Source organism: Homo sapiens, chromosome 9, assembly GCF_000001405.40.
Source record: "Homo sapiens chromosome 9, GRCh38.p14 Primary Assembly".
NCBI classification, from domain to species: domain Eukaryota; kingdom Metazoa; phylum Chordata; class Mammalia; order Primates; family Hominidae; genus Homo; species Homo sapiens.
Window position 1 is genome coordinate 123,978,169 of NC_000009.12, and position 21,890 is coordinate 124,000,058.

Here is a 21,890-nt window from a genome sequence, read left to right on the forward strand (position 1 = left end):
ATATTATGAAAGGGAACAGGAGGCCAGGGGAGGTGAGGCAATGCTCAGAGGGCACTGGGAGGCACAGAAATGGAAACCTCTGGGCTGGGAGGAGTCCATTTTAGGACATCAAAAGAACTTGTGCACAGGATTTCCTAGGGAACCTAGGAGAACCAGAGAGAGCAAGAGCCTAAGGAATGGACAAGGGTGCTTTGCATTTTCAAAATCTGGAAGCCAAGATATTCTGCAAATACATGGGGTTGTGAGCTTAACATCACTCTGGGCAAGGTTCCAGAAAACTCAGGGCTTGGAGAGCACCTAGGAAGGAAAGTAATTCCCAGGACCCCACACTGATTCCTTAAGAACAAGTCATGCCAGATCAGCCTCATTTCTTTCTTTGTTAGGTTCACTGGATGGGTAGACTTAGGGATGGTGTGATGAGTGATCAGAATGAGGCCAGCTTGTGGTGGTCTTCTTGTAAACAGGACAGAGAAAACGTGTGATGGATTCAAAGACGATTAGGAAATTGACTGCCCATAAGGGAAGGGAATTAACCGATAGGTCTCTGTCTCCTGTAGTGAGGTGCCTGAGGTCCTCTGCTAGGTCCTGTTCTGCCCATCCAAGTTACATGAGACAATGGTAAACAGTGGGAGGCCCACTTGTCCAATTGGCAGATGGTTTGAGGGAGGAAGAAGCACACATTATGTTGGGAAATAGAGCTCCTTTTTCTTTGAGCGCCTACTTTGCCAGGCACCGAGTTTGGCTCAGGCAGAATAATGGTGAATAAGACAGAGAGAGAGAGAGGTATAGCTACTCTCATGGAACTTACTGTTCTGTAGGGGACTCAGGCAAGCACATTTAGTGCGATAAGCATCCCAAATGACTGTGGCAGGATGGGTTTCCAAGATGAGAGGAGACATGGAAAAATAGAAACACCTGTCCCTGGTTCTAAAAAACCAACAGTGTCACCTCAGGAGAAGGAAGCCCTGGGTCAGTAGTGGTTGGAGTGAAGTGGAGAGGGCAGCGATGTGTGAGGGGACATGGGCCCTGCCAAGTTTGGAGAGCTGATCTACACTCGAATTTCACATGTAGCCTTTCAGCCATACAGAGCAGCAAAGGGGAGGATTCGATAGTGCGGTAGCAGGTGATGACAATGCTAGGGACAATTAGAGGCAGAAATAGAAAGAGTTTTGGAATCATCCTGTTTTACAAGGTGACAACCAGAAAGCCAAAGGTTGCAGAGGGGATGGCTCTGAGGGAGGCAGTAAAGTGCCTACCAGCCTCGCCCCAGGCCAAGTTGCAGCTGACTGTGACTTAGGAGCCCTAGGAATCACTCTAGAGCAGCACGTGAGGTAGAGAGTGTATGGGATGCAGCGCAGCTGACCTTGCTGGGAAATTTATCTACTCCTAGGCCAAGGACAGAAGAAATCCTACAAGCATAGTGTATTAGCCCATTCTCATGCTGCCACAAAGAACTGCCCGAGACTGGGTAGTTTATAAAGGAAAGAGTTTTATAAAGACTCACAGTTCCTCATGGCTGGGGAGGGCTCAGGAAACTTACAATCATGGCAGAAGGGGAAGTAAACATGTCTTTCTTTACATGGCGGCAGGAAGGAAAAGTGCCGAGTAAAGGGGGAAAGCCCCTTATAAAACCATCAGCTCTCGTGAGAACTCAGTCACTATCACGAGAACGTCATGGAGGAAACTGCCCCCATGATTCAGGTATCTCCACCTGGTCCTGCCCTCGACACATGGGGATTATTACAATTCAAGATGAGATTTGGGTGGGGACACACAGCCAAACCATATCACATAGGAAGGAGGAAAACGGTGAGCCCACATCATCACCATCTCTCAGACCCTGTCCCTAGCTCAGGGCCTGGCACATGACCAGTGCTCAGTGAGGACTGCCTAAAAGAGAAAGAGCTTTTTCCAACTCCAGTTTTCTATGGCACCCTTCTGACTTCCCAGAGGCTCAGTTCCCCCATCTGTAAATGGGTCAAGATGATCAATGCACCATGTGAAAAAATTGTGTGAGCATTAAAGCCCTGTTCAAATACAAGGATTTAAAGGAAGATATAAGAAGCAACCTCCATATTACTGCTTCCTGGAAATGCCCTTTAGTAATAGTTTAGTGGCAAAAAAACATTATGAGAAAAGAATTTTCTCATAAACATTCTTCTGTTCAATTATGAAAGGATTAACTAAGCTGTAATGGCTGACATTTTTTTCCATAAGACACCATAAGGCACACAATGATATTTCACAAATGTGTGCTTCCTTCCCTACCTTCAACTCATAGTAAGGAAAGGAAATTTCAATGAAGGTAGAGCCATGGCGGGGGGAAGGGTTTGGCTTGGCTGACCCAGAATCTTCTCCCAAGTGTCCTCAGCTAGAACCCTTAAAACCCTGCTCAGAAGTACCTCACTATCTCACCTCCTCTCCACCCTCAGTCCTGGAAGCTCTGCCTCCTTCACTCTTGTGCCTAACCAGGTAATGACATGGTCTTGAAAACTCTAATCACTGACTGTTTGCTCTGTGCCAGACAGAGGGCTCAGGGATTTCCACGCATTCACTTAATTTTCCTGTTAACAGAGTCAGCTATTATCCCCTTCTGTAGATTAGGAACAGGCAAAGAGGAGAGATGTGTCTTTCTCAAACTCACAGAGCTGGCAACTGCCAGAGCCTGGTCTCAAGCCTGGATCTATCTGATCCCAAAGTCCTTGTAACCAGGACACCAACCTGCCTGGGTGCAGACTGTGAAGGGCCAGTGAGGCCATGAAGACAATGGTGCCCTAGGGCTGGGGTCCCCGGGCTGACAGCAGGCAGAGGTAATTCTTCCATGTGGTGCTACTCCAAGGTAGCAGTGCTCCCTGGAAGTGATGCTTCATCCAGACAGCTCCATGAAACAGGAGGTGGTACCTGGATTCTTTTTTGAAGGAGAAACAGAGGCAGGAGCTGCTCCACTAGGGATGGCTGGATGCTGTGTGTCTGCACCGGGCCAGGAACACACCAACTACACTCATCACCATGGAGGCCAGCATAGCTCAGAGGAGCCTCGGGTTAGGCACCACAGTCTAGAGGTGGGCAGAGCCTGTATTGACTCTGTGCTGGGCAAGGGGGGAGGGATGGAGGAGAAGTCCCCATTTGCCATGGGCCCCTGTTTAAGCTGAAGAAATGGAGGCTTTAAAACTTACTATATGAGTAATATAAAAATTAAACCCAGATTCACCATATGAACCAGCAATTTCAGTCTTAGACATTTATCCAAAAGGACAGAAAGCAGGGGCTCAAACAGATATTTGCACACTTATGTTCTTAGCAGCATTATTCACAGTAGCCCAAAAGTGGAATTCATTGATGGATGAATGGAGAAACATGATGTGGTCTATACATACAAGGGAATATTATTTGGCCATACAAAGGAAGGAAATTCTGACAGATGCTACATCATGGGTGAACCCTGAGGACATCACACTAAGTAAAATAAGCTAGTCACAAGAAGGCAGATACTGTATGATTTCACTTATGTGAGATACCTAGAATAGCCAAATTCATAGAAACAGAAGAAAGAATGGTGGTTGACATAGACTAGAGGAAAGGGAGGAGCAAGAAGTTATTGTTTATTGGGTTTAGAGGTTCAGTAGGGAAGATGAAAAAGTTTTAGAGATGGATGGTGGTGATGGTTGCACATATGAATGTACTTAACGTCCCTGAAATGTACATTTAAAAAATGGTTAAGCCAGTTAGTTCCATATTATGTGTGTTTCCCCCACAATAAAAGAACCTGACATTTCTTCCTACTTCTAATAAAAATTCTTCCTAGACTAAAAAAACAAAAACAAAAAACCATGCTACATTTTTTAATCTTTATTTTTTTAATCTTTATTTGTGTGCTCCCCATGTGTCAGGCAACTTACTGAACACGTTCCATTTGTCATCTGTTTAGTCTTTTGCAACAGTCACAGTGGTCATTATTTCTCCCTTTTCCAGATGAGGAAACTGAGTCTCACAGCTACTCCCCGCAAGCCTTACAGCTAGGAAGTAGCTTGAATCCACGCCCTTAACCGCTGTGCTCAGCCGGGGATGAGACTGGCTCAGAAACGTACATCTAGAGATGGGCAGGCAGCATCGGGCTTGTTAGACTCTCCTTGGCACAGAGGCAGAGTGAAGAAGTGGGAAAAAAACAAAGCCCTTGGCATGCTTGACCTCTACGCAGAGTGGAGAGGCATCCTGGAGGCTGGCAAAGAGGGCCAGTGGGGAGCTGTCCTTACAGAGGACACCCTTTCATCTTAGAAAGTTCCTGGGACAGCTTCTCCGCCCTGCATTTAACTGCCTGCTGGGAGTTGCAAGGAATCCGAGCATATCCAATAAATGTTTTATTCTACCCTGAGCTGGCCCTCTTGGGCAAAATAAGCTCCTTTTTCCAGGAGGAAATGAAGGGGCAGGTTTTTCTACGACACTTACATAGGGATTTGTCTCTTCGTTTCACACAGAATTATCTTTGGCTCAGAGAGGCAAAGCAGCTTGCCCAGGCCCACACAGCAGGTTGGCACCCAAGGTCTAAAAAACCCGAGGGTGTCTGGCTTCTGGCTGAGGACCCAGCAGATACTCCACTGCAGAGCTCTCTGAGAGCCGGGATCGCCTCCCTCCCTGCCTTGGGGGACCCCTTCTCTGTCTTCTCATGGAGATACACTTGGCAGGGGTGTGGGCACAGGAAATCTCCATGATATAAAATATGCAGAAAACCTTTTTTTCCTGCCCCGAAGGGCACTGGATTGCTGGGTCATTAACAACCTGTGTAGGTGACTCTTCTCAGGAAGCCCCTCAGGATCTGATCTGAGTGCGTCTCCCTCTCCAGCCCCATCTCTTGCCATCCTCTGCCCAATCCCCTCCTCCAACTCTTCCCAGCCCCTGTGCTCACTCCCACTCAGGCCTTGGTCTCTGCTGCTCCCCTCCTCTGGCCTTTCTAACCCCGCCCAACTTTGCTGACCTAACCCCAACTCATTTCTTCTCCTGGAAGCCTTTCCTGATCCTCAGCCTGTTCACCTCCGGCCCCCTCTACCACACTCACACACACACACTCACACACACTCACACCCACACGCTCACACAGGCCTCACCTACTATTCATGGCTGTGTCCCCAGTGCCTAAAACAGAACCTGGCACAGGGCAGACCCTAAGGACATGTTGATTGATTGAATAAATCTGTAAAAATACATTCAGATTCAGTTAGCAATCAGAGATTTGCCATTAAGCAGCTGGAAAGGTCTTGGGCTCCCCAGGACTCAGATTTCTCCTGGGCAAAGTGGGTATCAAAAAAGAACCTTCCTCACAAGGTATTTGGAGTGCATGAGAGAGTCTATGTCACGTGCCAGGCACTGCACCTGGGTCATGATGGGGACTTTAGTGGGCCTTAGTCAGGTCCTATTACTGCCTGGAAGCACGTGCCCTGACCTTACCCCTCAAGCCCCTCCTACTGAGGAAAATACCATGTGCAGAGATGAGTATCTGCTTAGGAAATCTGTGAGTCTCCTGAACTAGAAGTTTGAGGCCCAGAAGCACTTTTGTCTTCAAGGACTTTACAGTCCAATGGGAGAGAAAGGCGCCAAATAGGCCATAACAGAGACTGGCCAGGGCAATGGTGGGGAGACCCGAGGGTGGCTTCTCAGACAGGTGATGCTTGAGCTCTGTCAAGCAAGAAAAGTAAGCGTTTCCCAGGCAGAGATTTGGGTGGAGGGGAGAATCCTGCAGGACAGAGTGAGATGCTGCCTCTTAATGAAAACATAAAGGAAAAAAAAACACACAACACATTTTCCCCCTAAGTCCATAGAAACAAGAGTCATTGGGTTTCAGGGTCAGGTAGAACTTTCTTCCCACCTGGGTCCTCTCCTTTGACCGTGTGACAAGTGGCTGGCCCTTCAAAGCCTCGAGTGCTCATCTGCAGGTCAGGGACAGTAAGACCAACTTGCAAGGGAGCTGGGAGGATTTGGTGAGATTCTAGACGCGCAAGTCCCAGCACATAGTAGGCACACAACCAAAGCTGACATCCTTCCTCTTTGGGCCTAAAGGAAAATTTATCCCAATTATCTGAAGGATTTGGGTGTGAGTAGTGCTCTCTCTGTTCTGTGCCCGTATTAACCAGACCTATTCCAGAAGCGGCCTTTGGGACCTTCCAGAGCACAGCCTGGCCTCTCCAACAGCCCTTATTAAAGACATGCTTCAAAATGGGTGGGGTGTCATCACCTGTGAAGACCTGGCATCTCCACAGGGGCAGCTGGGCCTTTGTAGCTGCACATCAAAGCTGCCCATCCCTGGTCCCAGGGTTTATCACCACAGTGACACAGACCTATGACCTTGTGCTCATGGAGATGTGCCTGCTGCAAACCTTCCATCCGCCTGGCTAGTCCATCCTCCAGGACACAGGGAGATGCTGGCTTTTGTGAAGATGCAAGGCATATAGGATGCAAGCTGTAAGGGCCCAAAGAGTTTGCAAGGTGGCTGGATAAATGTGACATCCCCTCCTTCCCAGTGCCCTTCAACACCACTCTTGTTCCCCATGATGTTACATTTTGCCAGTAATAATCACAGCCACCATTTGCTGACCCTTACGCTGTGCTAGGCACCTTGCCAAAAGCTTTCCTTAGAATATTCCCCTTTCCTACATTATGAGATATATACAATTGTCATTCTCACTTTACAGATGAAGAAACTGAGGCACACAGAAGTTACATCACTTGCCAAGTCACCCAGCTGGAGACTGGCAGCCTGGTATTTCCCACAGCCAAAAACTCAGCTCTCACCCAGGCCGTCCTCTACCCAAAGACATTTGCTGGCTCCCTGTTGACATTAGGACAAAGTCCAGATCCCTCAGCCTGGCACCCTAGGTCCTTCACGAGATCTCTGCACCTAATCCCCTAGCTCTACCCTTGCCGCTAAGTCTACCTGAGAGAATCACTTCTCTATTTTTTTTGAGACAAGGTCTCACTCTGTCACCCAGGCTGGGGTGCAGTGGTACAATCTTGGCTCACTGAAATCTCTGCCTCCCAAGTAGCTGGAATTACAGATGCATGCCACCACACCTGGCTAATTTTTGTATTTTTTGGTAGAGATGGGGTTTCACCATGTTGCCCAGGCTGGTCTCAAGCTTCTGCCCTCAAGTGATCCACCCACCTCGGCCTCCCAAAGTGCTGGGATTGCAGGCCTGAGCCACCGCACCCGGCCCCACTTCTCTTTCATAACCCTACACAGCTTCCTGGAACATCCTTCCTGTCTTTCCCACTTGATGAACTCCAGCCATTCTTCAGCAGCTAGCTCAAGTATCAGACAAGCCAACTCAATCTCTCCTACTTGGGGCACCTCTGTGTGTGTGTGTGCACGTGTCTGTGTGCATGCGTCCACCCATTTGTATTGCAGTGCATTTGTTTCTATGTCTGTGTTGTTGTCTAGGCTCTGAGCTTCCTGAGACTTGGTGCCCAGTTTCATCCACCTTGGTCTCCCCAGCCCCAAGCACAAGGTCCAGCACAGAGCAGGTTACGAGAAATGTTTGGGAATGAATGAATGACCCAGTGGAATGAACAAGGGTTACAGACGTGATAACAGGAGGCTCAAAATGCTGCCCCTAGGAAAGAAGAGGGCGAGGGGCTGTGGGAAAGGTTAGCATTCTGGAGGCACACTCCAGCTCCCTTTGGCTGAACAAAGACTGGGGCCCCAAGATTCTTTTCTCAAGAAATGTTTTTAGTGGGCTTCAGGATGATTCATTCCTTTGCAGCCTCACCACACCTGTGACTTCCAAAGGGGCCTCATGCCCCTGCCTTAACTCAAAAATCCTCCCTGGGATCCACTGACTCATTCGTTCCATAAGTCAGGATAGGACAGATTCCACTGCAGTAACAACCACACCAGAATGTCAGTGGCTCCTACTGTATGCCCACTGAAGACTGGCAGGGGACCTCTTCTCTATATTAGCCTCCAAAGGGGACACGATAAATTGCTCACTAGCTCTCGAAACATGTTCAGAGGTGACCCATGTCACTTTTGCTCATATGTCACTGGCCAAGGCAAGTCGTGTGACTACACCTAACTTTACAGGTGGCAGAGGAAGTGCAATCCTGGCAAGTGCCTGGAAATCAGAGAGGTGAAAACGTTGAGCAAATAGCATTAAATACCACCACACCTGTCGACATTTACTGTGCAGCTACTATGTGCCTCGCATAGTAGGAGTTCCAGAGCAGGAGGTGGGATGTGTTCTGCTCACATGCCACCTCTGAGAAGCCTCCTGTGCCTCTGGACAGGATCAGTAACTCCTTCTCCACACTGTCTCATGTCATCAAAACTCTTCAGCACTTGGCAAATTCCCATCTTTCCTTCTTCCTTCTCTTCCTCCCTCTCTTACTTATTTCATTTAACAAATATTTACAAAGCACCTCGACGTGCCAGCACAGTGCTTGGGGTTTCAAGATCCAGCACAAATATCACGTATTCTTGAAGACCTTCTCTGGTCCTCCCACTTAGAAACAAACGCTCCCTGCTCTGATTCCCAGCACCTTGGATGTCCCTCTGCTTGTCACTTTGGGTTTTAAGTGTGTGTGTCCACACTAACTTTGGCCACTAGACTATGAGCCTTTTGAGGGCTGGGGACTGTGTCTCATTCATCTCTATGTCTCCAGTCCCTGCACTTGTGCTCAGAAAAGGATCGTTAACTGATGGGCTGACTGATTGACTGAGTGACTGAGTGAGCAAATAAATGAATGGATGTCTCACAATAACTGGCACACAGTGTAGCCAATGGTCTCCTGCTGTACTTCAAAGTCCAAACTCTTGGTCAGGCCTGGTGGCTCACGCCTGTAATCCCAGCACTTTGAGAGGCCGAGGCAGGCAGATTGCCTGAGGTCAGGAGTTCGAGACCAGCCTGAGCAACATGGCAAAACCCTGTCTCTACTAAAAGTACAAAAAATTAGCCGGGCATGGTGGTGCGTGCCTGCCATCCCAGCTACTTGGGAGGCTGAGGCATGAGAATCTCTTGAACCCGGCAGGCGGAGTTTGCAGTGAGCCGAGATTGTGCCACTGTACTCCAGCCTATGCGACAGAGCAAGACTCTGTCTCAAAAAAAAAAAAAAAAAAAAAAAGTCCAAACTCTTTCCCACAGTCTACATGGCCCTGCCTGATCTGGCCCCTACCCACCATGTCCCAGTTCTGACCATCGTTCAGTTATCAAAGGCACTAAGTTCATTCTTGCGTCAGGGCCTTTGCACCTGTCATGCCCTCCTCCTGGAACATTCTGTTTCCAGTTCATCCCTGGGCTGGCTGCCTCTCCTCATTCTAGCCCCAGCTCAAATGCTACCTCCTTGGGGAGGCCTTCCAGTCAAAAGGAACTCTGTACTGCCCTCTTTATTGCACAGTCTGATTCTCTTCAAAGTACTTTCCATCTGACGTTACTTAACTCATGTATTTGCTTATGTGCCGATAGTCTGCCTCTTCTAAAATGTAAAGTTCACGAGAGCTTCATACACAGACCCCACCTGTCCTGCTGCGACCCTGGCACATAGCAGATGCTCAGTGCATAGCTGTTGAATGAATGAGTGAAAGGTAAGATGTGACTCTCACCTAAGAGGAGTACAGCCTAAATGAGGGGAGATTCAGCTATTTCCTGTCCACTGACCAAGCCATAGGTCTCAAGCTTCTTGCCCTTCTCATGGCTTCTCTAAAGGTTGGGGGTGGACATCTGTAGAGCAGGGTGTGAGAAAGCTGTACCTCTAGGACACTCCTGTTCTCAGTGCACACATGCATGTGGAACCACACGGAGCCGTCCCTTAGGTCAGAAGACAGCACTCGCTATGAGAGCAGAGGGGACCTACAGGGCCATCTCTTTGCTCAGCTGACTGCTGGCTCCAGGCATCTAAACCCTGTTCAATGCCCGAGCTTCCAGCCCCGGGCAGCTGTGGTGTAATCACCAGTTTTAAAAGCTGGCCTGGGTGTTGCTTCTGTTCTGCCTTTGAGGAGAGGGCATGCAGTGGCCATCCGAAGGCTGGCAGGGCAGCCACAGACTTCAAAGGCTTTGTCTTTGACTGCTGTTTTGCTGTTACAAAATGTTTTGTAGAGGCAGGGTTTCACCATATTGGCCAGGCTGGTCTCAAACTCCTGGGTTCAAGCGATCCACCCGCCTTGGCCTCCCAAAGTGTTGGGATTACAGGTGTGAGCTGCTGCGCCTGGCCAGTGTTAAATTTTTGGAAAGGTGTATAGCATATTCGATTTAGTAATTCTAACAATTATTATGATTTTTATGTGCGTTATTAACACTTGCATGGGAGAAGACTGGCAGCTGGGAAGCCAAGGGCCTGGAGGTAGGGTGGGGCCCAGAGGGGAACAGGCAGCACCTACTGGGATTGGGGTGGAGCTGTCTCCCCTGCTGGGGCAAAGCAAGTTCATCTCTCCTTTTTCTCTTTTCTCCTGTAGCAAGTGAGAGCTCCTCAAGGCCAGGGTGGGAAGATTTCCCACTGGGTCCCCAGAACCTTGATGACACCAAATGGAATATGACTCTGTGCTCTCACGTCCCCTAAAAGTGTCTTCCTTGCCCTCTCATTCCCTCACGTTGCTTCGCTCTTTTCAGGAGGCAACTTTGCAGGCTGGAAAAAACACTTCCAATTATGCATACCTTTCAGCCCGGTGTTTCTCATTATACGCACATGCCCTGCAGACACGAACATGAGCACACACACATCCATTCAGTAACTGGTTCTTTCAGTTGCTCATGCAAAATGATCTCTTGAGATCTTCCGAGTGCCAGGGACTGAACCAGGTCCTGAGATATTTCCCTGGACACACAGACGTGATTCCTTGGGTTCCCTTAGAAATGACAGAACTTCACAGAGGAGAGAGACATTGAATGGGCATTAACGGAAATCCTTAGTTGAAATTACTCAAAGTACTTCAAGTGAGGAGCACATGGTATGGTGGGACAGGGGTCACAAATTCTTCTAGCAATGTTTTTTGCAAGTGAATAAAAGGCAGCAGCCCAAATATCCATCCCCAGGAGAGTAGCAAGGATAACTGTGGTGCATCCATACTTTGATTTACCATGTATTTATTTAAAAGAAGGCAGGTCAGGCACAGTGGCTCACACCTGTAATCTCAGCACTTTGGGAGGCCGAGGCAGGCAGATTGTTCGAGCTCAGGAGTTCGAGACCAGCCTGGGCAACATGGCAAAACCCCATCTCTACAAAAAAATACAAAAATTAGCCAGGTGGCTGGGCGCTGTGGCTCAAGCCTGTAATCCCAGCACTTTGGGAGGCAGAGGCAGGCGGATCACGAGGTCAGGAGATCGAGACCATCCTGGCTAAACATCCTGGCTAACATGGTGAAACCCCGTCTTTACTAAAAATACAAAAAAATTAGCTGGGCGTGGTGGCAGGCACCTGTAATCCCAGCTACTCGGGAGGCTGAGGCAGGAGAATGGCGTGAACCCGGGAGACAGAGCTTGCAGTGAACTGAGATCGCGCCACTGTACTCCAGCCTGGGCCACAGAGCGATACTCCGTCTCAAAGAAAAAAAAAGTAGCCAGGTGTGGTGGCATGTGCCTGTAGTCCCAGCTACCTGAGAGGCTGAAGTCAGAGGATGGCTTGAGCCTGGGAGGCGGAGGTTGCAGTGAGCCAAACTCGCACCACTGCACTCCAGCCTAGGTGACAGAGGGAGATCCTGTCTCAAAAGAAGAAGAAGAGGAAAAAAAAGAAGGAAGGTTATATGAATCAACAGTGAAAGATATCCTAAGTATGGTGTTAAATTTTTATTTGCATCTGTATTTGTTTTTGAGACAGGGTCTTGCCCTGTCACCCAGGCTGGAGTGCAGTGGTGTAATCACAGCTCATGGCAGCCTTGACTTTCCAGGCTCAAGCAATCCCCCTACCTGAGACTCCAGAGTAGCTAGGACTACAGGCATGCACCAACAAGTCCTCCTCATTTTTTGTAGAGGCAGGGTTTCACCATATTGGCCAGGCTGGTCTCAAACTCCTGGGTTCAAGCGATCCACCCTCCTTGGCCTCCCAAAGTGTTGGGATTACAGGTGTGAGCCACTGTGCCTGACCAGTGTTAAATTTTTAGAAAGGTGTATAGCATATTTGATTTAGTAATTCTAACAATTATTATGATTTTTATGTGTGTTATTAATATTTGCATGGGAGAAGACTGGAAGAATATGTCTCATATTGTCAACAGCTGCTATTTTGGGGGAGGTAAATACCTGTGACTCTCATTTTAACAACATTCAAATAATGTTTGAATTGTTAAAAATAGACATGCATTACCTTAGTGAGAAGGAAAAAAGTACAGACTTGGGGGGAAAAACTGATGCTGATTATTTTTGAGACTCTTCAGCCATCTGGAATCAAGGCTGTTCAAAGAGCCAGATCTTCCTTCTTGAAGACAAAGTTTCTTCCACCAGGGGCTAGACTCTCAAACGGGAAAGAATCACAGTAATTAGGGAACGGAGGGGGTTCTTGGAGGCCAGCAGTGAATGGAGTGTGAACTTCAACGCTGGGAAGGGGTGGGCCTAATCCCAGCTCTGCCATTCTCTGGCTGGTGATCTGGGTAGGTCCGTGGGCCTGTTTTCTCACCTGTAGGAGAGACATAATGATCTCTTTCTGATAGGAGTGTTTGCTGATTAAATGAACTGCGACATTAGAATTCTCTTGGAAAGCAAATACTCGGTGGGTTCTAAACAGAGGGAATGCTTTTGCCAGACCTGGAAGCATCATATGGAATTGTTGGAAGAGGAGAAATAATTTTGCTCTTGGCTCTTCCTGCAGAGAAATGAAGTTTGCTTACATCATCTACCTAAGAAAATTAAGTAACATGTCTGCTCGTCAATAAGAAGCAGTAATTTCAGTGTGCTTCCCTGGTTTTTTAGAACCAGGGACAGGTGTTTCTATTTTTCCATGTCTCCTCTCATCTTGGAAACCCATCCTGCCACAGTCATTTGGGATGCTTATCGCACTAAATGTGCTTGCCTGAGTCCCCTACAGAACAGTAAGTTCCATGAGAGTAGCTATACCTCTCTCTCTCTCTGTCTTATTCACCATTATTCTGCCTGAGCCAAACTCGGTGCCTGGCAAAGTAGGCGCTCAAAGAAAAAGGAGCTCTATTTCCCAACATAATGTGTGCTTCTTCCTCCCTCAAACCATCTGCCAATTGGACAAGTGGGCCTCCCACTGTTTACCATTGTCTCATGTAACTTGGATGGGCAGAACAGGACCTAGCAGAGGACCTCAGGCACCTCACTACAGGAGACAGAGACCTATCGGTTAATTCCCTTCCCTTATGGGCAGTCAATTTCCTAATCGTCTTTGAATCCATCACACGTTTTCTCTGTCCTGTTTACAAGAAGACCACCACAAGCTGGCCTCATTCTGATCACTCATCACACCATCCCTAAGTCTACCCATCCAGTGAACCTAACAAAGAAAGAAATGAGGCTGATCTGGCATGACTTGTTCTTAAGGAATCAGTGTGGGGTCCTGGGAATTACTTTCCTTCCTAGGTGCTCTCCAAGCCCTGAGTTTTCTGGAACCTTGCCCAGAGTGATGTTAAGCTCACAACCCCATGTATTTGCAGAATATCTTGGCTTCCAGATTTTGAAAATGCAAAGCACCCTTGTCCATTCCTTAGGCTCTTGCTCTCTCTGGTTCTCCTAGGTTCCCTAGGAAATCCTGTGCACAAGTTCTTTTGATGTCCTAAAATGGACTCCTCCCAGCCCAGAGGTTTCCATTTCTGTGCCTCCCAGTGCCCTCTGAGCATTGCCTCACCTCCCCTGGCCTCCTGTTCCCTTTCATAATATTCACTCTAGTCTTTTGGTCTGGTGGTCATTTTCCTTGCTAGTTGTGGTGGGTTGAATGGTGACCCCCAAAAAGATATGTCTGTGTTCTGGAATCTGTGAATGTAACTTCATTTGGAAAAAAGAGTCTTTGCAGAAGTAATTAAGGATCTTGAGATGAGATCCTCCTAGATTACACAGGCAGGCCCAAAATCCAATAACAAGTGGTCTTATAAGAGACAGACAAGGAGAAGACACAGACACAGAGGAGAAGAAAGCCACATGAAGATGGAAGCAGAAATTGGAGGGCTGCAGCTACAAGCCAGTGAACACATGGAGCCACCAGAAGCTGGAGGAAGAATTCTTTGTTGAGAATTCTCTCTTAAAAGGCCAGGTGTGGTGGCTCATGCCTGTAATCCCAGCACTTTGGGAGGCCAAGGAGGGAGGATCATCTGAGCTCAGGAGTTCGAGACCAGCCTTGGCAACATGGTAAAACTACATCTCTACTCAAAGTACAAAAATAAAAATAAAAATTATCCGGGTGTGGTGGTGGGTGCCTATAATCCCAGCTACTCAGGAGGCTGAGGCAGGAGAATCACGTGAACCCGGGAGGTGGAGGTTGCAGTGAGCCGAGATCACACCACTGCACTTCAGCACTTCAGCCTGGGCAATAAGAGTAAGGCTCTGTCTCAGAAAGAAAAAAAAAAAAAAAAGAATTATCCTTCACAGCCTTCAGAAGGAAGTCTCTACTGACACCGTGATTTTGGACTCCTGGCCTCCAGAACCATGAGAAAATAAATTTCTCTTGTTTTCAGCCACCCAATTCATGGCGATTTGTTACGGCATCCTCAGGAAGCGAATCCAGCGGCGGAGACCAGAGCTGCTAGTTCTGCTTCCTCTTGGTCACGAGCCTTCTTTGGGATGACCACGTCGGCCTCCCCACTGGCGTGGCTGCCTCCAACCTCACTCCCTCCAGTCCCTCTGCTGCACCGCGGCTGCCGGAGTGACATTACTAAAACACATGACGGCGTTGCATTCCTGTTTGAAACCTGTATCAGCTAGAACGCTTTCTGTTCCAAGTAACAGAAAACCCAACCTAAACTGGCTTAAACAAAAAGGAATTTATTGGATCATAAACTCAAAAAGGCCAGGGACTAGGGCTGGCTTCATCTCGGCTGGATTTGGGGCTCAAACGACGTCACTGGAACTCATTTCGCTCCACCGTGCTGCTGCCTTCTGCTGTGTTGGCTTCGGTCTCAGAAGCCCCATGGTTTTGAGGTCGTGACAGCGGCCCCAGCCCCTACATCCTGTCAGATTAGAGACCAGCAGAAGGGATCAAAGACCTCTCCCAGGTCCTCAAGCCAAAGCCCAGGATGGGCTGCCATTGGGCCGGATTGCCAGTCCCTCAGCCAATCACTGTGGCCACAGCAGTGGAATGCACGGATTGGCTTAGGTTTGGGTCACATGCCGCTTCCCCTGGAGTCCTGGTGGAACTGCTTCTACCAGAACCACTGGACTGGGAGGAAAGAAGGGGAGGAAAGGAGTAGGACGCAATCCCCAAAGTCCCACCCTAAATATAGTAAAGGCATGCAGAGCAGCCAGGAAAAAAACCCCAGCATGTCCCTCCAAATGCTCTTCCATCGTCCCTGCCAAGGCTTATCAAGATCTAAGTCCCTGGTCTTCAGCCTCAACTCCAAGTTGCTTGACAGCCCCGGGCATATCCTGTCTTTTCCTGCCTATGTGCCTTTGCATGGTCCCCTTTGCCTGGACCACTCTTTTCCCCTCCCCGAGCCCTGATCTGACTAGTTTTTACTCCTCCTGCTTCGCTGGAGGCTTTCGCTCCACTTTGGGCCCCAGAGCATCCTTCACCCCTTCGACAGAACTTGACTGCTAACGAGTCTGTCTCCTTGACTGAACTCTGCACTTCATAAGGGCAGAGACTTACTTTATTTTTATTTTTAACAAACACATAAAGCCCTTTCCAAGGGTCAACCACCATTTAAGCTCTTGACAAGCATTAACTCATTTAATCCTCATCATAAATATGTGAAGTAGGTTCTGTTATTAACCCTACTTTTAAAGATGGGGAAACTGAGGTAGAGAAAGGTCATATCTGATTTATCTGTGTATTTGTTTTTTATTTTTTTGACAGAGTCTCTTGCTCTGTCACCTAGGCTCGAGTGGAGCGCAGTGGTGTGATCACAACTCACTGTAACCTCAAACTCCTGGGCTTGAGTGATCCTCTCGCCTCAGCCTCCCCAGTAGCTGGGACTAGAGGGTCATCTTTGTATTTCCCAGGTCCAGCCCAGGGCTAAGCACCTGGTAGGTATTCAAAAAATACTTATCTTTCAGATTGTCTCTCCTGGTCTCTGCCCCCAGTCCTACCAGGATGTATCTTCTGATTTTCCCATTTCCCGAAGTTGCCCACATTCTGGATCTTCCCAGACTGGAAAGAGGGTGTTGCTAAGGCAGCCTCAGCCAGAGCAACTCTGCACAGCATCTGGTGTCCAGGCCAGCAACCCAAAGGCTGGCACAGAGGCCTGTGACATGAGGAAGGAGCCCCATCTGGACCCTTTAAGGGCTATGAAAGCCCTGTGGTGGGAGGATGAGCCCAGGAGTCCTCCAGGTGGCCCTCTGCCTCAGTACTCATGATCACTCCCCCTGTGTTCCTGATCCCAGTCCAGGGATTCCATCCTGACAGTCGTTTACCTGCCCAGACTGCTGAGGACTGCTGTGTCCCCAGAATCCTAACCTGAAAGCTCCCGAGCTTTAACTGGCTCCAAATGAAAATGTGCATGTATAGTCCTCACAGGAGCGATGATTGAATGATGACCCACAGCCTCCACCTCTGCAGATCGGCCTGGTTCTCTCTTCTGCCTCCCTCTCCTCACTCAGCTGGTTCCCCGTCCCTCCTCCATCACTGTCAGAGCTGCCTCGCTTTCCCTCCCTCTGCAGCTCCTTTCTCTGTCTGTCCCTGTCTGATTGTCCATCTCTGGCCTTGGCCAGACTCCTTTCCCTCACTGCTCTTCTGCCTGTCTCTTTCTCCTTTCTTTTCTTTTCTTTTCCTTTTCTTTCTTTCTTTCTTTTTCTTTTCTTTCTTTCCTTTCTTTCTATTTTGAGACAGAGTCTCGCTCTGTCACCCAGGCTGGAGTGCAATGGCACAATCTTGGCTCACTGCAACCTCTGACTCCCAGGTTCAAGCAATTCTCCTGCCTCAGCCTCCCGAGTAGCTGGGATTACAGGTGTGCACCACCATGCCCAGCTAATTTTGTATTTTTAGTAGACACAGGGTTTAGCCATGTTGGCCAGGCTGTTCTCAAACTCCTAACCTCAAGTGATCCACCTGCCTTGGCCTCCCAAAGTGCTGGGATTATAGGCATGAGCCACTGTGCCCAACTCTCCTTCTCTCTCTCTTTTTTTTTTTTTGAGATGGAGTCTCACTTTGTTGCCCAGGCTAGAGTGCAGTGGTACCAATCTCGGCTCATTGCAACCTCTGTCTCCTAGGTTCAAGCAATTCTCCTGCCTCAGCCTCCTGAGTAGCTGGGACTACAGGTGTGCGCCACCATGCCTGCCTAATTCTTTTGTATTTTTAATAAAGACAGCGTTTCACCATGTTAGCCAGGCTGGTCTTGAACTCCTGACCTCAGGTTATCTACCAGCCTCAGCCTCCCTAAGTGCTGGGATTACAGGCGTGAGCCACCGCACCCAGCTCTCCTTGTCTCTTAATGCTTGACTCTTCTCTACTGTGACCCTGCAGTGCATCTGCCTGTTTATATTCCCTGGATATCGGGCTGTCTGTCTGTCTTCCAGCTGCCTTCACCCCATCCTTGGTTTCCTGGGCTGTCCAGTAACGAGCCTGGGACCTCTTTCCCATCAGAGTGAGAGGACCCCTTTGTAGCAGGGCAGCCTCAGAGACCCCCATCCATGACTCGCTTCCATTCTCTGAGCCTCCTCCTGAATCACTTTACTCCTTGGGGTCCCTCTGCCCAGCCCAGGAGGCAGGAACCCTCAGAGCCACATGGGCAGGGTGGCTGTTTGCTGCCCTGAGGACCAGGTCCCGGCAGCCTCCCTTAATGAGCGTGCCTTCGGTGACACATTCATTATTCCTGCTCGGTCACTTCGAGTCAAAACTGATTAGTTACACTTACCACCGCAAAGATGTAATGATTTTATTGTTTATCTTCAATTTATTTTGATTAACATCTCCGTTCTTTTCATTGCAAGTGCAATTAGGTGCAATCTAACAGCGACTACTTTAATTTTGTTGAAATTAAGATGAATAAGTGACGGCTTATGGTGCTTTGTTTAACCAATAAATCATAGTTAAGAGGAGTGTATTAGTAATAAATGAAAAAAGACAACTTAATTAAAATGCGTGGAGCCAGCCTCTTGATGTACATCCAAAATCCAAATCTGAATTCCAAAAATCAGAGGGAGCTGAGGGTTAGGAAGACCCTTGCTGCCTCTCAAAATGGTGACCAGAGGAGACAGACGGTGTAGCCTAGTTTTGAGACTGCTGTGCAGAGAAGAGCAAGGAGTACATCTTGATCCTCATGAGGTGGTCGCATCTTGTCCACAAAAGCCACCTGGAACCCAGGTAGAAACAGACTTGGGAGGATACAGGAAGAGAGGCCTTATCCCCCCTGGGGACCCTGGGGACGGAGGGGGGGTAGGGGGGCACTGGCTGCCAAGCCCACACCCTGAATTCTTCCTGGGAACCCATTTCGGGCAGGGGACAGGGCCCCACACCCCTACATCTGGGGATCAGCCCATTTGCCCTATTGAGGAGCTCAGTGCCAAGCCAAAAACCCTAGGGCAAGTCTCGCAGTGTGATCGCCTCCCCGCTGGGCTGAGAGGGACTTCCCCATCTCTTGATTTGGAAACAAAGTGCAAAAAGTCAGCCCTGGAAAGTTTCCCGTGTGAAGTTTAAAAGCGCCTGTGCTGAAGAGGCCGACTTTGAAGCAGCTTGCCGGGGCCCCTTGGCAGGCTCCTGCGAGTCAGAGGGCCGGCCTCGCCTCAGATCCGCTGCGCCTGCCTCCGCAGGGCTGGGAAATGGGAATTGTTTTTAAGTTGAAAAATTACTCATGGAGCTCACTCCTTTGCCACTGCTCTTCTTTTGTTCTCAGTCGTCGCCTTCCTCTGCCTTCTCCTCCTCTTTTGCTTCCTCCTTTTAGTAAAGAGGAGCAGGCGGACCAGGGTTCAAATCCGGGCGCAGGCTCTTACTGGCTGTGTGACCTCAAGCCTGTGACGCAACCCCTCTGGACCCTAGCGCTTTAACAGAAAAGTGGGGCCAATGGTGCCCTCGAGGCGGGGCGCTGTGGAGGTTGGCCCAGGGAACTGCACAAAAGTGCCCAGCACCTGCCTGGCCCCAGGAGGAGGAGCCCCAGAAGCATCAGCTCCCTCCCACTACAGAGCCCTTTGCCTCCTCCTTACAGAGCTTCAGAGGCAGGTCTCCTCCCCCTTTCTTGTGGCTCTCTGAGCTCCTACTGAGCCTTCATCCTTCTATGTTTAAACTCCACTTTTCTTTTTCATCCTCCAAATACGTGTTTCTGAGTGTCTGCCTTGGTGCCAGGCACAGTGCCACACCCTGATGATGATGCGAGGTGAGAAAACACACGATGGACCTGCCCTCAAAGAGCTTCCAGCCCCATGCCTCAGGTCCCCCATGAGACTCCTTCATCATGGTCATTGCATCCCTGTGTGCTCAAAAGTGTCTTCCCAGAAAAAGGAGTGCTTTGTGAGGACAGGGGCCATGCCCAGCACAGGGCCTGGCACACAACAGGGGATCAGTGGCCAAGGACGATGCCTCCTGTGGGCCTGACTTTAAGGGCACAAACAGAAACCAAGCCTGAGTGTGTGCTGCCAGGGAGGCCCTCGGGTGGGGGCATGGCTGTCATAGTAGGCAATGACATCTTTGGGTGCACAGTGCTGGGACATAGCAAAGGAGAGGACAAGAGATGGCAGCCCCCAGGAATAACCAAAGGCAAAGAATGAGTCTGCATGCTGGCCTGGCTTCTTCCTTCCAGCTCAGAAAAGGGGAAATCGGGACTCATGTGGTTGAGGGTTCATGAGAGCAGTTTCTGTGCGCTGAGGCCGGGACTTCCCAGCACAGCCTACAAGACACTGCCTGCCCACGCCTGGCCCCGCCCACCTCTGCAGCCTCATCCCGCTCCCCACCCCACACCGGCCACTCCGGCTTTCGCGCTGGCCTTGCTCCCTCGTGCCAGGAACGCTCTCCCTCCACCACCTCTTTTAGCACCCCCTGCCCACTTCCTACCAACTGCAATCCTGGTGCCCCAATTGACTTCAGGTCTCAGCTTCGATGTCATCACACTTTGGGAAAGGCCTTCCTGAGCCCCAGACCAGGTCAGTTTCCCTGGATATCTGGTCTTATCGTACTCTATATGTTCCATGGCACTTGTATAACTGTCATGAAATTCTGTAATTGCTGTCCACAGTCTGTCTGCCTCCTAGAATGCAAGTTGCATGAAGGCAGAGACCATGCCTGCCTCGTGAATTGCTGTTTCCTCAGTGCTAAGCAAAAAGCTTGAATAAAAGCTGGACAGAATAAATAACCTGTGGGCTGGGCACTTTATGGATTCCACGAATGATCTCAATGGCAATCCTGAAAAAGAGGTGGTTATTGCTCCCATTTCACAGATGAAGAAACTGAAACTTGGAGCAGTGTGACTTACCTAAGCAAGTGGTCTTGAACTCACATCTCTCTGACTCTGAAGCCACACTCGGTCCGGGAAACATCCCTGAAGCTTAAAAGCCAATCATGGTGTGATGGGGAATGGGGAGGGAAGGAGGGAGGGTAGATTTTTCTCCTGCTTGGGTCTAAGGACAGCGAGAGAGCATTGCCCCTCTGCTTGGTGTCAACCAGGGAGGAACCAGCAGGTGACAGGGCCTATCAGATCCAGCTTAGGTTGTGCCCACTCAAAACCTGAGGACAGGGGGAGGGGAACCACAGTCACTTTTCAGGAGGGGCTTTAGGGACCCTGGAGGAAACCACCATTAACTTTTCCCGCGGAACTGGCCTCTGGTACTTGTCCTCGAGGCTGAGGAAAGGTGTTTTGTGGGGCACACATGGCACCCAGCGAGCGCTGGGTGGCCGCTGCATTTGAGGAGGCGTGAACTTCAACAGGGGACCACAGGCACGGGGCACCTCCTGCGTCCCCCATCGCCACCCCACCTAGAGCTGCTCATCAACTCCTTTTAGAGACAGGAAACTGCAGCCCTGGCGGGGAGTGACTTGTCCGAGGTCTCAGAGCAGGGAAATGGCTTCAGTTGCATTTTGGGGGCCGCTGTTCCAAGGAGAGACAGAGAAAGAGATAGCGAGTCCCCCTGAGCAAGGCGAGAAAGGGGGGAGAGTGAGGGGAGGTAGAAGGAAGCCGGAGAGGGAGGGAGGAAGTGGTGAGAGCAGCCGAGGAGAGAGGGGTAAGAGAAAAAGAGAGAGGCAGTGAGGAAGAGAGCCGGGGACAGCCAGAGAGGCCGGGAGAGGCGAGGAAGGAGGCAGAGAAACGCCGCGGAGACCGGGAGATGGAAAGAGACAGGGGGAGGCGGGCGGGGACGGCCGGGGGGACCGGCCGGTGACAGCCACGGAGCGGGGGGCGGGGGACGCCGAGCGCTAGCGGGCGCGGGACGGCGGCGGGCGGGGTGGGGAGGCCGGGGACGCGGGGGACGCGGGGGACGCCGCGCCGCCCCCTCCCGGCGCTCGCCGCCGCCCCCGCCCCCGCCCCCGGCCGCACGCGCCCGCAGCCTAATGACCGCAGCCAGCCCGCGCCGCGGCCCGCGCCCACTCCAGGCGGCCGGCAGCTGGCAACGCGGGGCGAGCGGGGAGCCGCGCGCCGCAGCCCGGGTGGCCGCTCCCGGCGCCCGGCTGGCCCTGATTGATTTGTCAGCCGAGGCAAGAAAAACGGCCCCTCTGATCCGCGCGCCCAGTCCTCGGCTCCCCGGGCGCCGGGCCTCCCTCCCGCGCGCCTAGCCCGGCTCCGGGCCGGCCCCGCAGGCTGGAGCACCCCGCCCGCCTCAGGAGGGAGCCCTCCGCCCTCCGGCCCGGGCCCCGGCGCCCCTCCCCGGCCCCGCGCGCCGCGCACCTCCTCC

General features: G+C 50.4%; 1 long non-coding RNA gene across 4 annotated transcripts, besides 4 other annotated features; it reads right to left on the reverse strand.

The window, feature by feature from the left end:
* Window positions 14,964-15,464: an enhancer, noted in NCBI's record as "H3K4me1 hESC enhancer chr9:126755411-126755911 (GRCh37/hg19 assembly coordinates)". NCBI's record gives its function as "activates a minimal SCP1, AML or CMV promoter by ChIP-STARR-seq in primed H9 embryonic stem cells {active_cell/tissue: H9 hESC(primed)}" and the evidence as "EXISTENCE:reporter gene assay evidence [ECO:0000049][PMID:30033119]".
* Window positions 17,940-21,219, reverse strand: LOC105376267 (uncharacterized). 4 transcript variants are annotated; one of them, XR_930333.4, is made up of 3 exons: window positions 20,980-21,219; window positions 20,480-20,551; window positions 17,940-18,951 (listed from the first exon to the last, which is right to left on the reverse strand). It is a non-coding gene; the product is annotated as an uncharacterized LOC105376267 (long non-coding RNA). The 4 variants fall into 4 exon arrangements; XR_007061762.1 differs by having other exon boundaries at window positions 17,940-18,370; window positions 20,480-21,219; XR_007061761.1 differs by having other exon boundaries at window positions 17,940-18,370; window positions 18,880-21,219.
* Window positions 19,721-19,830: an enhancer, noted in NCBI's record as "active region_28956". NCBI's record gives its function as "activates an Ori minimal core promoter by ATAC-STARR-seq in GM12878 lymphoblastoid cells {active_cell/tissue: GM12878}" and the evidence as "EXISTENCE:reporter gene assay evidence [ECO:0000049][PMID:35858748]".
* Window positions 19,910-20,664: an enhancer, noted in NCBI's record as "H3K4me1 hESC enhancer chr9:126760357-126761111 (GRCh37/hg19 assembly coordinates)". NCBI's record gives its function as "activates a minimal SCP1, AML or CMV promoter by ChIP-STARR-seq in naive H9 embryonic stem cells {active_cell/tissue: H9 hESC(naive)}" and the evidence as "EXISTENCE:reporter gene assay evidence [ECO:0000049][PMID:30033119]".
* Window positions 21,708-21,867: a silencer, noted in NCBI's record as "silent region_20253". NCBI's record gives its function as "represses an Ori minimal core promoter by ATAC-STARR-seq in GM12878 lymphoblastoid cells {active_cell/tissue: GM12878}" and the evidence as "EXISTENCE:reporter gene assay evidence [ECO:0000049][PMID:35858748]".